Source organism: Homo sapiens, chromosome X, assembly GCF_000001405.40.
Source record: "Homo sapiens chromosome X, GRCh38.p14 Primary Assembly".
Classification (NCBI taxonomy): Eukaryota; Metazoa; Chordata; class Mammalia; order Primates; family Hominidae; genus Homo; species Homo sapiens.
The window spans coordinates 148800923-148814288 of record NC_000023.11 but is presented as its reverse complement, the minus strand read 5'-3'; the positions used below and the strand labels follow the sequence as shown (position 1 = coordinate 148814288).

The window sequence follows — 13366 nt, the reverse complement described above, 5'->3', positions numbered from 1 at the left end:
TGCTGCTCTCCTTGTCTTAACTCTTCCAGAAATGATTACTCTAGGATCCATAAAACCCCGTAGAGCTCAGAAAAGAAGCTGCTGCTGGTACCCATATTATTACAGATGAGCTGCCTAGGAATCCCTCAGATGATTGATGAATTGTAACTGCAAAATGCCATCACTGTGGCCAGAGCTGTTATTATTTTTCATTTCCGTTTGCACGTGAGGGTAGCTTGACTCTAAAGAGTAAACAGCATGCTGACGGAAGCAAGTGTAAAAGCTGGGATGCATTGCACAGATTGCTGCCTTTAAGTTTCTGATTTGTAAAATTCACAATAAGCGATAATATGCCTGAAAAGGAGCAAAGACACCTGAATTCGTACAGCTCATTTTGTGGGAGAAGGTCAGTTTGGTGAAAAGGTGTTGTAGGCCAGTGAATTCTAGTTTGTTCAAAAAACTACTTAAATTATTCTGGCATAACTGAATTTGTACAAATTGAGGAAACAACAGAAGCTGAAATGAATTGGTGGTTGAATCCACTATAATGTTAATCATAAAGCAGACTGGAGCCTGTTAAATAAGAATGAATTCAGATAAGCCAACAGGACCAGAAGAACGGATAGTATGACTCTTGTCAGAGACTTGGAGAACTGTGACTTGAGGCAAATTACTTCACCTCTCTGACTTTCACTCTTTACCATTCTGTAAAGCATGACTAATAATACAATTTTTGAGGGTTATTGTAAAGGTTCAAAGACATAATGTGCTTATGAACTGTGCCTGACATGCAATAGACAACACATTACTATTATCAGTTGTTTTATTATTAGAAGAAAATTTGCTATTGTTTTATTATTATTTGAAATGAGATTCAAAATATTAAAGAATGACAAAAAAGAAGAATTAATTTCTAAGATCTGTTCAAATTATGTTGGTTTGCTGGTATTCTTAAAGTTGCTGGAAATGTCAGCTACTGTCTGAAGCAAGTTTGTTTAACATCCAGAGATTCTCACTCTAGATTTGTGAGAGGGTGATTGAGAGTTGGGTGTAGTGCAAAGATCACTAGATTTAGAAAACAAAGGCCAGATACCATTTTACTTCTGCCACATACCAGCCCCACCCTGGACTGCAGGTCATTTAACCTCTCTGGACTTCGATTTCATGAAATAATAAGAAACTACCTTACTCCTTATGACCAAATAAGACAACGAGGTTCAAGTGCTTTGACAATCTGTCACCTGCTATAGGAAAATAAGGTTGACACATCAGGTCAAGTTAGCCTGTTATAATCTGATTGCATCTGTGAGAGCATGAGGGCAAGAAGAAAATTGCTGGAAGACCAGACAAGGTGGGCTCCAGCATATTATAGCACTTTGCCCAGGGGGGCAAAGAAAGAAAAGTGGACCTGCTGGTTTGAAGGGGAGCTGAGAACATTGCCAGATGAATGGTGAGAGGGGCTTTCAAGAGAAACCAACTGGCTTGAATTTGGACAGCATTTTGAGAAAGGGGGCCATAACAAAACACATAAGGCAAAAGTATTTCCATAGCCTGGAGGATTGAGGGGCTGAGAGTGGGGAAAGGCTGGTTGTGTTGCATTTGGTTAATAAAAGAAGTCTGTCCCCATGTGAGATGAAGTGGGTTTGTATGTGTTTGCTTGCCAGGCTGTGGAGGGAAAAAAGGGGGATCAGGGAGGTGGGAAAGTTGGGAGAGCAAATGGACTCAGATTTTCATGGTGCAGATGCAAACAATGTGTATAATTTAAATATTCCTTCATTGGAGGTGGGTAGAGAGATGGGCGGGGTAATAACTAGCGCATGCTTCTAGATGAAGAAACTGAAAAGCAACACAGCTAGGAAATAAGGGAATCTCATGAGCAACTGGAAGCCAGCTCCTCCACTCCGGGGCTAGTGCTCCTTCCTCTGCATAGCTCCCCTCAGTGAGGAGAGATGACATTGTTTGGGCCTCTGCTTAGTTTGAAAAGCAGCGAGCATGGCCAGGAGAGGTAGGGAGAAAGATAAAATGTACTTTTCCCTAAGAAAGGGGTTTATGGGGAATGAGGTGACAAATTTACTGCGGAACCCGTCACAGGCCTCTAAGGCCCTCAAACCAAAAGGAACATGAATGTGTAATTAAGACAAAAAGCCCAACAAGCATGCTCTATTGTGACATGCAAGGTGGTCTATAAAAATTTAACAATTAGTCATAAAATTGGGGACGCAAATTTCAGAAAGCTTATTTTTATTCGAAGCATGGGGAATGAAACATTCTTTCTTTAATAAAGGAAGGCCCACTCATTAACAGCGTTGTTGGAAAAAAAAAAAAAGAATTCTATACAATCTATAGCCCTTCAAAAAAAAGAGACATTTCTCTAGATTCTCTTTCAAGAATAACAGAAGGACTTTTGTTACTTTCTCAAAGCATGTTATCTTTTGTGAGCCTATTAAGGCAACCTGCTTCTTTTCTTTCCATGTGTAAGTGAAATTCTGTTGTTTCTCTAAGTGGCTCCTTTAGGAGACTGGTGTCGCCAGCCTCAGCCAGGTGTTCACCCTCCTTCCTGCATTTAGTCACATAACCACCTAGGCACCAGGGCTGGGTTGCTTTTAAGTATGTAATTTCGATTGTGACAAATTAGTGAGATTTTGAGATATGCCTGGCATTCCTTTGGGAGTTTATAAAAAGGCCACTGAGTTTATTTATGCTTGTGACTCGGAGAAGAAAGGAATAACAAGGTTACTATCTAGAGCAGAGTAAGACATTTCTTTCAATGTTATTACCTTCTGTTAAGGAAGGCTGTTGACAAGTGAGCAAGGACTGAATGTATTTTCCCAATGGGAAAGGCCTGAGTTCCCAGTGTGCATTCCTTTTGTGGTGCTCATAACAGCTGCCTCGTCTCCACCCAAAACGTCGGGCCCCTGAGACAGATGACTGAGGGGTTGCTGGGTTCTTATCTTACCAAAGTAGTCAGCATAGTCCTAATCTAGCAGTCCCCAACCTTTTTAACACCAGGCACTGGTTTCATGGAAGACAATTTTTCCGCAGATGAGGGGGTAGGGAGTGGGAGTAGGGGTGGGGAGTTGGTTTTGGATGAAACTGTTCCACCTGAGATCATCAAGGCATTACATTCTCACGAGGAACACATGGTACCAGTCCATTGACTTGGGATTGGGAACCCCTGCCCTAATCCATATAGTCTCATCGTTGATCAAAGTGATATGACTGGCTCATCTCTTTAATAGTCAAGAACAATGTTCTTGGGCTGAAACAGGTGCACGAATGTGTACATCAGGTATACTCCGGGTGGCAAGCCATTTCAATGGTAAACAGCTTTTGGCTCTTGACTATTCCTTTGGCTGCATTTGCTCAGGGCTTGCTTCAAACACTGGGCTGCTGAGAAGGCACTTACTGGGAGAGGGGGATCAGGAGGGAGTTGGAGTGACTTTGGTAACTGAGGAAAGGGGGTGCCAAATTTTCACTGGCACATAGATTATTTTCTTTCCCAGATAGAAAGCCTTCATGGTTTTTACATGACTACACTGGTCATCATTTATCACAATAGCCAGCATTTATATACCACTTGGTAGCCTATAAGGGAGTTAGGGCAGGTATTATTGTCCTCTTTTACAGACGAGGAAAGGAGATTCAGAGAGATAAAGTCATCTGTCCAAGGTCACAGAAGTGACAAATGGTAGAGCCAGGACAGGAGCTCAGGAGCTCATTACCATGACTCCTATTCTTGAGATTCCATACTGCCTTATGATGCCAATGGCCAGAGAGAGCAGACAGATATGTTTTTCTTGCTTAACTTTGGTTTCTTCTTTTGGTTTGATTGTTTACTTCAGAAGAGATTATAGCCATTCTTTCAACTTTGTTCTGCCCTCAAGGCATTCACACACATACACTCACTTCCATAAGTAACACTTTCCACAACATGCCATCATTTTCAAGTCTCTCATCTTCTCCTCCTCTCCCATTCCCACATCTCTTCCCCTTATTATAGGCCACAATCAATCTCGGTAACCATGTTCCACATAGTGGGCGGCAGCAGTGAGATTGAGCTGAGATCCCAGAAAGGTAAAAGGCAAAGGTTTAGGGTATGGTGCTTGAACAGGGAACGTTTCCTAAAGAAGGTGGTAAGTCTCTGTCTGAGAAGGATGTAGGAATGGATAGGGCAGAAGCTTAGTGATATTAGAAGACTAGCTTGATTACAAAATGGAAAGAAGACAGGCAAGAAATGAGGCCACTGGAATAAGCAGAAGGGTCTTGAAGTAGAATATCAGGATTCCCCATCATGAAACTCCTTGAAACAGAACAGTAATTACTTTAAACAGCTTAAGCAGATAGATTGCTTCATTATTAAAAGGCACAAAAATAAAGGTTTAAACTCACCCGCAAGATTTCTTCAACACAGCTTGGATCACTGGGAAGGCTTACCTGAAACAAAATAAACAGAAAACATTAGGCACAATCTACTTCTTCTTCTTGTATAATAGTTTACTCTGTAGGACAAACTGTAAAGCAAGAAAATCTAGCTATCATTTTTTTCCTATTAAATACAAAAGAATATCTGCAAATGACTAATTTTGTTTTACTTTAATGAAGCGGTAAGATCGCAGTGCATGGTGCAGAAATAAAGTGACTCCTTGTTCTGTCACTGATTTGCTTTCAGGCACTGACCCATCCCCCATCCCCTGGGGCTTCTCTTTGCTCATCTATCCAAAGAGAGCTTGATCTCGTGATCTTTAAGGCATCTTTGACCCTCTGACATACTTTTGTATATTATTCATTAAAAATATAAGGCCTATACGAAACACTTTTGTGATTAAATTGAGTTCTTTTTGAACTTGGGAGTCCAACTAGGCACCTACAAAACACTAAGGATAACGGCCTGTGTAAATTGCATGCTTGCCTTGGCAGTTAGAAAAAGTCTCAGAAGTATACTCAGTGAATCCCATGATGCATTTTTCCCAGTGTGACACCTTCCTAATGAATCAAGATTCAAGTCACTAGCAGAAATGTACTGAGGGTTTACTCCATGTCAGGCCCATAGCCCTTTCCTGCAGGTGCTTTATAGTCAGTGAAAGCAAGAAGCGAGATAACAAAATAAGCAACCAGCTGTAAGACAGTGCATGATCAGGAACTTGAGAGTCAGGCAACCATCTAGAAAAATCTCTGCTGATCACTACATTATCTGTGCAGGTTTTAGGCATCCCCCAAACATTCCTAACTCCCCTTCACACCTTCACCCTCTCCAGGATTGCAATCCGATCACATCTGCTTCCTGCCTGCTCTGGTAAGAACAGTGGGTCTCTCATTCACTGCCTTGAAAGATGAAAGCCCAATCCTGTTAAGAGAGCACTGCCGTTACATCGACATTGCCCAGGCCTCTTGCAAGGACGATTATTAACTCCCCAACAGACTTAAGTATGGACTCAACTATACTTGGGTAAATGAAGAACAGAATACGGCACTAGATTTCCTCACCTGTAAAAACTACAAGTTAAACAATACAGCAAATCTTCAAACAGCATTATGGTCACTTCTGTACATGCATTAATTACAACCAGTATTTATTGAAGACCTTCTACATGGAAAAGTCCCTGCTCCAAGAGGCCCAAAATCCCAAATAGGGGAGACAGCCTGAGACAGTCACCAATAATGAAGGGCTATCAATTCTAGATGGCCCAGTATAGCCCCAGGTTACACTTCTTATCTGTGTAATTATTGATAGTATTCCCTTTCCCTCTCAAAAATGTCCTCCAGTTTGGATGACAAATTTATACAGTCATCCTTCCGATAACAATAATACTCTAATACTAGGTAGAAGAAACAGTAGAAGAAAAGACTTAAGTTGGCTGGGCATACCTTGTAAAGAATCTAAAATACAGGTTTCATATAGAGAACCACTGGTGATTTGGTGTAGCACAATTCATTCATTCATTCAACAAATAATTTTGGAGAGCCAAAGGCTGTGCCACTTGGTGCTAGGCAGAGATACAATGGGAAGCAAGAGGAGACACAGTTTCCTCACTCATGGAGTTTACAGGCTCAATAGGAAGGTGAATATGAAGAATCACATAGTTAATGCACAACTATAAGCTCTGGGGAAGTACAAAAAGGTGACCATCCCATGGACACTAGTTATGCAAAATGGAAGGTTCTGTGTTCAAAGAAGTATGGGAAATGCTGCAACCCATATTGTATCCCCCTTTGGAGATCCATGATGCAAATAAAAAGCTGTGAGACACCTGTCTAAAATTTTTAATAAAGTACATTCCCAACTTCCTTGGCTTCAGTCTTGGGTTTTTAGTTTTAGTTGTTTGATTGTTTGTTTGCTTGTTTTATTTTCCAATTAATAACTACTGTTATTCCACACAATGAATGTTTGCAGAATATATACTGGAAGATGCTGGTCTAACATGTTTATATGATTATACAACTAAACTGGTAATTCTCAACTGCAAATACAATCCCACTCCATTGTTCAGTGCTGCAGCAACTGTATTTTCCAAGAGAGTTCTTGAACTTCTAACAAATACATTCCCCAAATACAAAGGTCAAAGGATTATAAGAAAGGCTTAAATCTTCAATATCATTGTTGTATTGTATTAGAGTGGGCAGCCTAGGCTAAAAATGTATGGCCCAGTCTCATGAAAAGGTCTTTGTTCGCCTTTTCCCACGCAAACACATCAGTGTTAATTTTTAAATCACAGTGAAAATATATCACTGATATGCAGACACAGCAAGAGCACCTGCTGATGAGTCAAAAGGGTTGGGAAGGAGTCCTGGCCCTACCACTTGGGAACAGGACTTAATAACTGTACCTTTCTGAGTTCTAGTTTTTCCAAATGTAAAAGAAAAGGAAAGAATAATAGTAATACCCATCCTTTTTAAATCTCACAGGGTTTCTGTGAGCATCCTGTGAAATAAGTGATGTGAATGTGCTTTGTAATCCGCAAAGCCCAATACAATGAATTAAGTTATTACCCCTTGTCCTGTTGTTCTCCTTACTTTTCTTAAGTCCTGTCTTCTCGTCTTTTCAAACTAAGATTTGACTCACTCTTGCCAACTGAAAATATCATCTCTACTCTTTGAAATATAAATATCCACTTCTTTATGGGAGGAAATACTGTCAGAAGAGAAAGAGTTGTGGACTCTGGAGCTTTGCAGCACATCTAATAATGACTGACTATTGGAGTCGGCAGCACTCAGGACAGACAGAGAACTCTAAAGGCAAGAGCAGTCAAATAAATATGCATTCACACTCAGTGATTAGATATTTTTCTTTAGAAAACACTAAAATCCAGCATTCTCATGAAGTTACTAGTTCCGCAAATTCATCTAGCCCGGGCCCACTGCTGTTTTCTCCGTAAGACAACCACATTTGAACCGCAAGTGCTTTTCCTTCCTGCAAGTGCTTTTTAATTAACCAGCAAATATTTCCTACGTGCCTAGCACAGTGCAAAGCATGGAGAGTTGGTAATACAAATCACTCGGAGTCTCAGGTTCTTTCTCTCAGAGTTAAATGTCTAGATGGGATAGGAAAACAAACAATTAGAAACCCACTGGGACATACATTGTAAGGTAGTCATGACAAGGGTAATAGGATCGCATTCATTCGCCTGTCCGCCTATTCATCAGCTCTCCCATTTATTTCTTTAGACAACAAATCCTGATTGAGCTCACACTGTGCTCAGGATGGTGCCAAGAGGGAGGATTTAAAGACACTGGAGGCAGCATCATTTCTGCCTTCAAGACTCCATGCAAATTGAGGAGACAACATTTACGGGGAAACAGACAAGACCAAACAGGAGGTCTGATTTAAGTGCCAGGGAAAGGGTACCTACCGGGTTCACCGACACTGCCATGTCAGACAGAAGCTCCCAGCCGTTGAGGTCCCCACCGTAGTCCTCGCTCCATATGGGAGTGAGAGGCCAAGGATTCGACATGGCTGAGAAGTGATGGGGCCACCTGAGGCCACTTCAGTCACTGAGCCCCCTGCGGAGATGCACCAGGGTCACTCTGCACACTGGAAGAAAGCTGAGCTAAGGCTGGGGCTCGGCCCCAAATGCTATTCTCTTGCACTCTCTTTCTCTTTCTCTCTCACACACACCCACACGTCTTCGCAGTAATTCTGGAGGAGTTACTCGGACAGGTGTGAAAGACAGAGACTGAGAAAGAGAGCTAGTGGTGGCACTGGGATTAGAACTGCTGCCCGTTGAGTTGCCAAGCTGCTGCTTAATTCCCGAGGCACCTTCTCCTCTCTTTAAATCCACTCTTGAGTATTCAGATAGTCCACAAAGCGCAAGTTAGCCACTCAGAGCTGCAGCGTCCTTTCTCATTCCCCCTCTCCGCCCCCTCCTCCTGGAGCAGAAAGCAAGCTGCACGACACACAGGGGAGGCTGTGCTCTCACTCCTGGCCCCAGACGACCCTCTTGTGCTGGGCACGGATGTGGTCCTCTGAGGGCCAGGGAAGGGAGGTGCACATCAGGCAGGTGGTGAGTTTACTGAGAACCCTCACAAGTGCCTACCCTCTCTGCATCTGACAGTGCAGGCTGCCACCCCATGTAGCCACAGAGAGACCACACACAAATTATCTGCCTGGTGATAAATACATATCTTATGAAATAATCAGGGTACCTTTAAATCATCAAATATTCAATTAACTGCAGCAACAATAAATGAATTGCATAGGATGTTTTAATCATTCTGGAATTAATCAGTTTGGAGCATACTTCTTAGCGATTAGGGTAATACAAGATATCAAAAACACCCTGATAGTGGCATTGAGAGACATAAGCAGCAGCCATCACTAATAGAAAACATGGAGATTAACGTAAAACATTAATAGAATAATGATCAACACATGGTTAATCCAGAGGAGCTCAATGCATGCCTCTGAGTATATTATTACCAAGGGATTGTGAGAGAAGACAGGTCATTTTTTCCCATAAAATCATCCTGAGGGCGGTCCCACAAAGCTGGCAATCATAGTCCACTAGTCTAGGCATATTCCACCTTGACAAACACTTTCTCAAAGTAAAACTTAAAAATCAAAAGTTTAATTGCAAATTAAATAACTGGGCCCAGTTAACCAATATCCACAACAGACACTGATGGCGGCTTCCAAACTAATTCCGTTTGTACTTTCATTAACAAACTTCCCCATTTATCCCCATGATTGATTTATGGTACACAGAAGTCCCCTGATGCAGAATTACTAATAAAATAAAAACTCAGGTTATGATACTGTACTACCAAATGAGTTTTCAATCTTTTTAAAATTTGTAATTCCCATCGTTGGTAATTTGTAAAAACAGAGGACAGCAGCCTCTGAAGTTCTTATTTGCATGCATTATGAAATCCCCTATGTCTCTATCCAGGGAGTCCCAGTTTTCCAAAATGAATTTGGAAAACTACAAACTCAGTTCACATTAGGATCTGTCTGTCCCTTGCTTCCTGCCTCACCTTAACCGTCCCTATTCTAGTTTGTATTCATGAGTCTATGATTAAACGGGAACAGTTAATATTGCATAAGCTGTAGACAGAAGTCCTCGGGTAATATAACTTTAATCAAAACAAAAACGATTTCACAACAGTTACATGGTCCAGCTAACCAGCTCATCTTCCAATTTCATTTCAATACAGCAAAAATCCTGGGCATCCAAAGAGCTGGTGTTTACTTTAAAATACTGCTTCTGGCCAGTTTTTAAGTAAGTCTCCTGGTCAAAATACTTCATGTAAAACAAGGTAATATGCACCAGAAAAGTACAAAAAGAACAAAAAGTAGAGCATGAAGATCAAAATAATTTAACACATGTCTTTTTAAGCCAAATACAGGAAATGACCCTTTGTTTGGAATCATACATGAACATAAAACTAAAAGGTAACCATGAACTTTTATTTCTTTGAGCAAATGAATGAGATAATTTACTGTGTTTTCTGGGGGCTCCAAGGGGCAGTGGAAAGAGCCTGGTCTTTGAGGCTCCATAGAACTGGATTTCAATCCTATTTCTGAAGTTCAACTTGCTTTATGACCTTGGGCAAGCCACTCGAACTTGTTTGAGCCTCTGTATCCCTACCTATGTAAGAAAAAGTTTTAAAAATCCACTTCTAGGATTTTTGTGATGTTGAAATGAAGTGAGGTTTATAAAAGTACCTTAGCCTAGTAGGGGGTGCATGTTAAGTCTCCATCAGCACTTTGTATGCTAAGTTCTCTCAAAAGTCCTTAGAAGGGTGTCAGCACTCTGAGCCTTGGAACCACTGAGGAGATAGTTTGGTTGCCTTGTAAACTGGCTCCCATGACATCTTATGAATGTTGCTAATTACTGAATCCTATTCAGGGTCCCAGTGTGTAAAGAGTCTCAGGCTGCTTTTCCATCTGCTGGCTCTCATTAAAGGTGAAAAAGGAGGCTGGAGATGGGACTTAAGTGGATATGACAACAGAGATAAGGGAGAGTGGGAATGAGAAGGGTGGAGGAGGGGTGGGTGACATGCTTCATTATGAGGACATCTCTTCAGTGATTACATTAGGTATGGGCAACGGTGGAATGCATATGCAGAAAGGCCCATCATCAGCTGAGAGTACCTAATGGCAGATGGAATTTCAAGTGAAGAGTACTTAATTCAGTGGGCTCTGAATAGCCATTAACTCACTGTTCATTTATTTGGTCTAATAACTAGTTTCGATAGAAAAGTGAGCTATAAAAGGAGATGGGGGGAATGAGGGTATATTACAGTCTTCGACAAAAACAAGGTAAACATCTAGAAATATTACTGTTAGAAATCAAGAACCTATCTGGAAGCACCTTGCTGCCTGGCTCACATTCCCTCAAGGATGCCCTGTCTCAAGTCCCCTGGGCTAGTCAGTGAGGCCATTCTGGTTACTGTTGCTGCAGCTACCCAGACTCATACCCCAGCTGAGTAGGGTCTTCCAGCCCGGTTCCACAGGGACAGATCTCCAACTTAGAGTCTCTAGGCTTCTTGCTATGATTCCATCATTCTGGGATCAGACTCAAGCTGTCTCCTACTTCTCTTTGCCAGCCTCCGTGACTCTGACCCCACTTGCTTGCCCTCTCTTGCCTATGCTCTTCCTGACCTTCTTTCTTCTTTTGGTGCCTGCCCTACAATCCTCAGATCTTCTGGCCCTGGTCCTTTCCTTTTGAAATTCCTAGGTAAGCAGCCAACTCCTCAGGGCCTACAGGATACCCACTTCTGTCCCAAAGTCCTAGTACTGCAACCAAAGACCATTTAGGATCAAAATCTAGATTCCACTTAATCCCTACTTAGTGTACTGCCATTAATGGTAATGACTGTCTTGTGTGCAGGTGCATAATAATCTCTCATAATAAAAGAGAAGACTGCAAAACTAGAGATGTACAAACTAGATTGAACTAATACATTATCTAAATATATAAAAAAGATATATCAGGAGGCAAGTTCACCTTTGAATTCTGTCAATTAAAGAGTAAATGTTAGAGTTTTTAAAGTTGTAGTATGCTCTTGACCTCTTCAAAGATCATAGCACACTCTCATAATATAGAGAAAGTAAACAATTACAAAGCAGTGATCTCACTTTCAGGTAACAAATCTTATAAAGTAGCGAAAAAACCTGACAGGAAACAGTAGTTATGTGTCCAAGCTCCACCACTAATTAGCTGTGTAATTTGGGACAATTCACTTCTTCACTCGCCAGCCTGCAGCCTAAACAGCCTATACAGTGAAGGCATGAGAATATATTCCGAGTACCCAGTGTTTTGTATTTCACATAACAGTACAAAAATAATGAGGGATATGTATAAGATTACTAACTTTTTCTTTTATCAATAAGGGCATTACAAAACAAAATCCACCATTGGCACTATTATTTTGTAAAAGAACATTATAACATCCAAAAGGTTAATAAGGCATAATCTCAGAATAAAGGCCAGTTTGTTCAAAATACAGAACAGTTAAATTTATGCTAACATCAAACATACTGGCACACACACACACACATCATTATCTTACTTTTCTTATGTTGCCACAGAATAACAACACTTTCACTTTGGGCTGGTCACCGGGTTATGCGATCTTTCACACATCTTTTGGATTCTACGATTTTATTAACACTCTGCTTTATTCTTTCCTATTTTATGTATTTTGCTATATGTAGTAGTCCTTTTGCCAGGAGGCCACACTCCGCATAGCATAGCATATTATCTATGACATGTCATGTATTCCAAAGCCAAAAATGAATTCTTAAAGTGTGTATGGAAGCAAGCATGGGGTCACAATAGCCTAGAAGAAAAAGTGCTTCCAGGAAAAACTGGTCATTAAATAAGGATGAGGCTGCAGAATAGGCCATTGGCTTTAGCAATATCTAGGTGATTTGTATCCTCGATCATAGCTGTTTCAGCAGCATGGTGGGGATGTAAACCTGATTGTGTATTGAGGAGAGAGTGGAAGGGGCAGAGGTGGAGAGAGTGAATAAACAATTCCTACTGTGAAAGGAGGTGGAGAAATGAAATAATATAAAGTGGTGATGTGGAGTCAAGGTTTTTGTTTGGTTTTGTTTTTATAAGAGGGATGATATTAAGATATATTTATATACTTGATGCGTAGAACTCAGTGAAGAGGGAAAAAGTGTGGCAAAAGAGAAACTGGATGATTGTAAAAGCAAAGTCCTTGATAAGGAGGGAGTCGATCAAGACACAACTGAAGAGGTTGGCCTGAAATAGGAACATGGACACTTCTGTACACTTCTTCCATTGTAACAGGAGGGAAGGCAGAGTGCCTAGGTACATAAGCAGCTGGGTTGGAGAAATTAAAGATGAGAAGATGACATGGTACTTGTCTGATTGTATCTTATTTTTCTCTATGAAGTATGCGGCAAGATCATCAGCTGAGAGTGGGGTGTGGTTACTGGAAATTGGAAGAGAAAAGAAAGGTTGGAATAGTTGTCTTCGAAAACAGAAACATGGATCATAGACTTGCTAGGGAAGTATAATAGAAGGGATAAGGAGGCGGGGAGAAAGAAGGGAGTTGGAGGCCAAGTAGCTCTGATGATTTGGAAGAAGGTGACACTGCTCCTCACTGTTAGCTTCTGCTTTTTCCAACACTGATTAATTAACCATAGTTCACAGTTCTCCAAATGCTCTAATCTAGAAGAGGCTTCATTCTGACTGCAATAAGCAGAAAGCGCAGGAGTAGGACTAATGACCAGGACTCCACCGTAGTGACTCCTGTAATATTATCCAGAAGGCCAGATGAAATTAAGCCCAGGGCCAAATTTAAGCCCCAAGGCTTGAGGATCTCCCCTGGGCCTAACTGAATGCTACTCTGTCTCTTTGGGAGCACAGAGAACTCGATTAACTCATATCCTCCTGAGAGAAATCATTCCTTTAGA

At 41.2% G+C, this 13366-nt stretch overlaps 1 protein-coding gene across 6 annotated transcripts in view; it reads right to left on the bottom strand.

Moving 5' to 3' along the window:
• AFF2 (ALF transcription elongation factor 2) overlaps positions 1 to 13366 on the bottom strand; it is a 500047-nt gene that overhangs the window by 186375 nt on the left and 300306 nt on the right. For all 6 annotated transcript variants that reach the window (NM_002025.4, NM_001169124.2, NM_001169123.2 and 3 more), the window contains one exon: positions 4369 to 4413. In NM_002025.4, the coding sequence (NP_002016.2) occupies positions 4369 to 4413 (45 nt within the window). The remainder of the gene's footprint in view (positions 1 to 4368; positions 4414 to 13366) is intronic.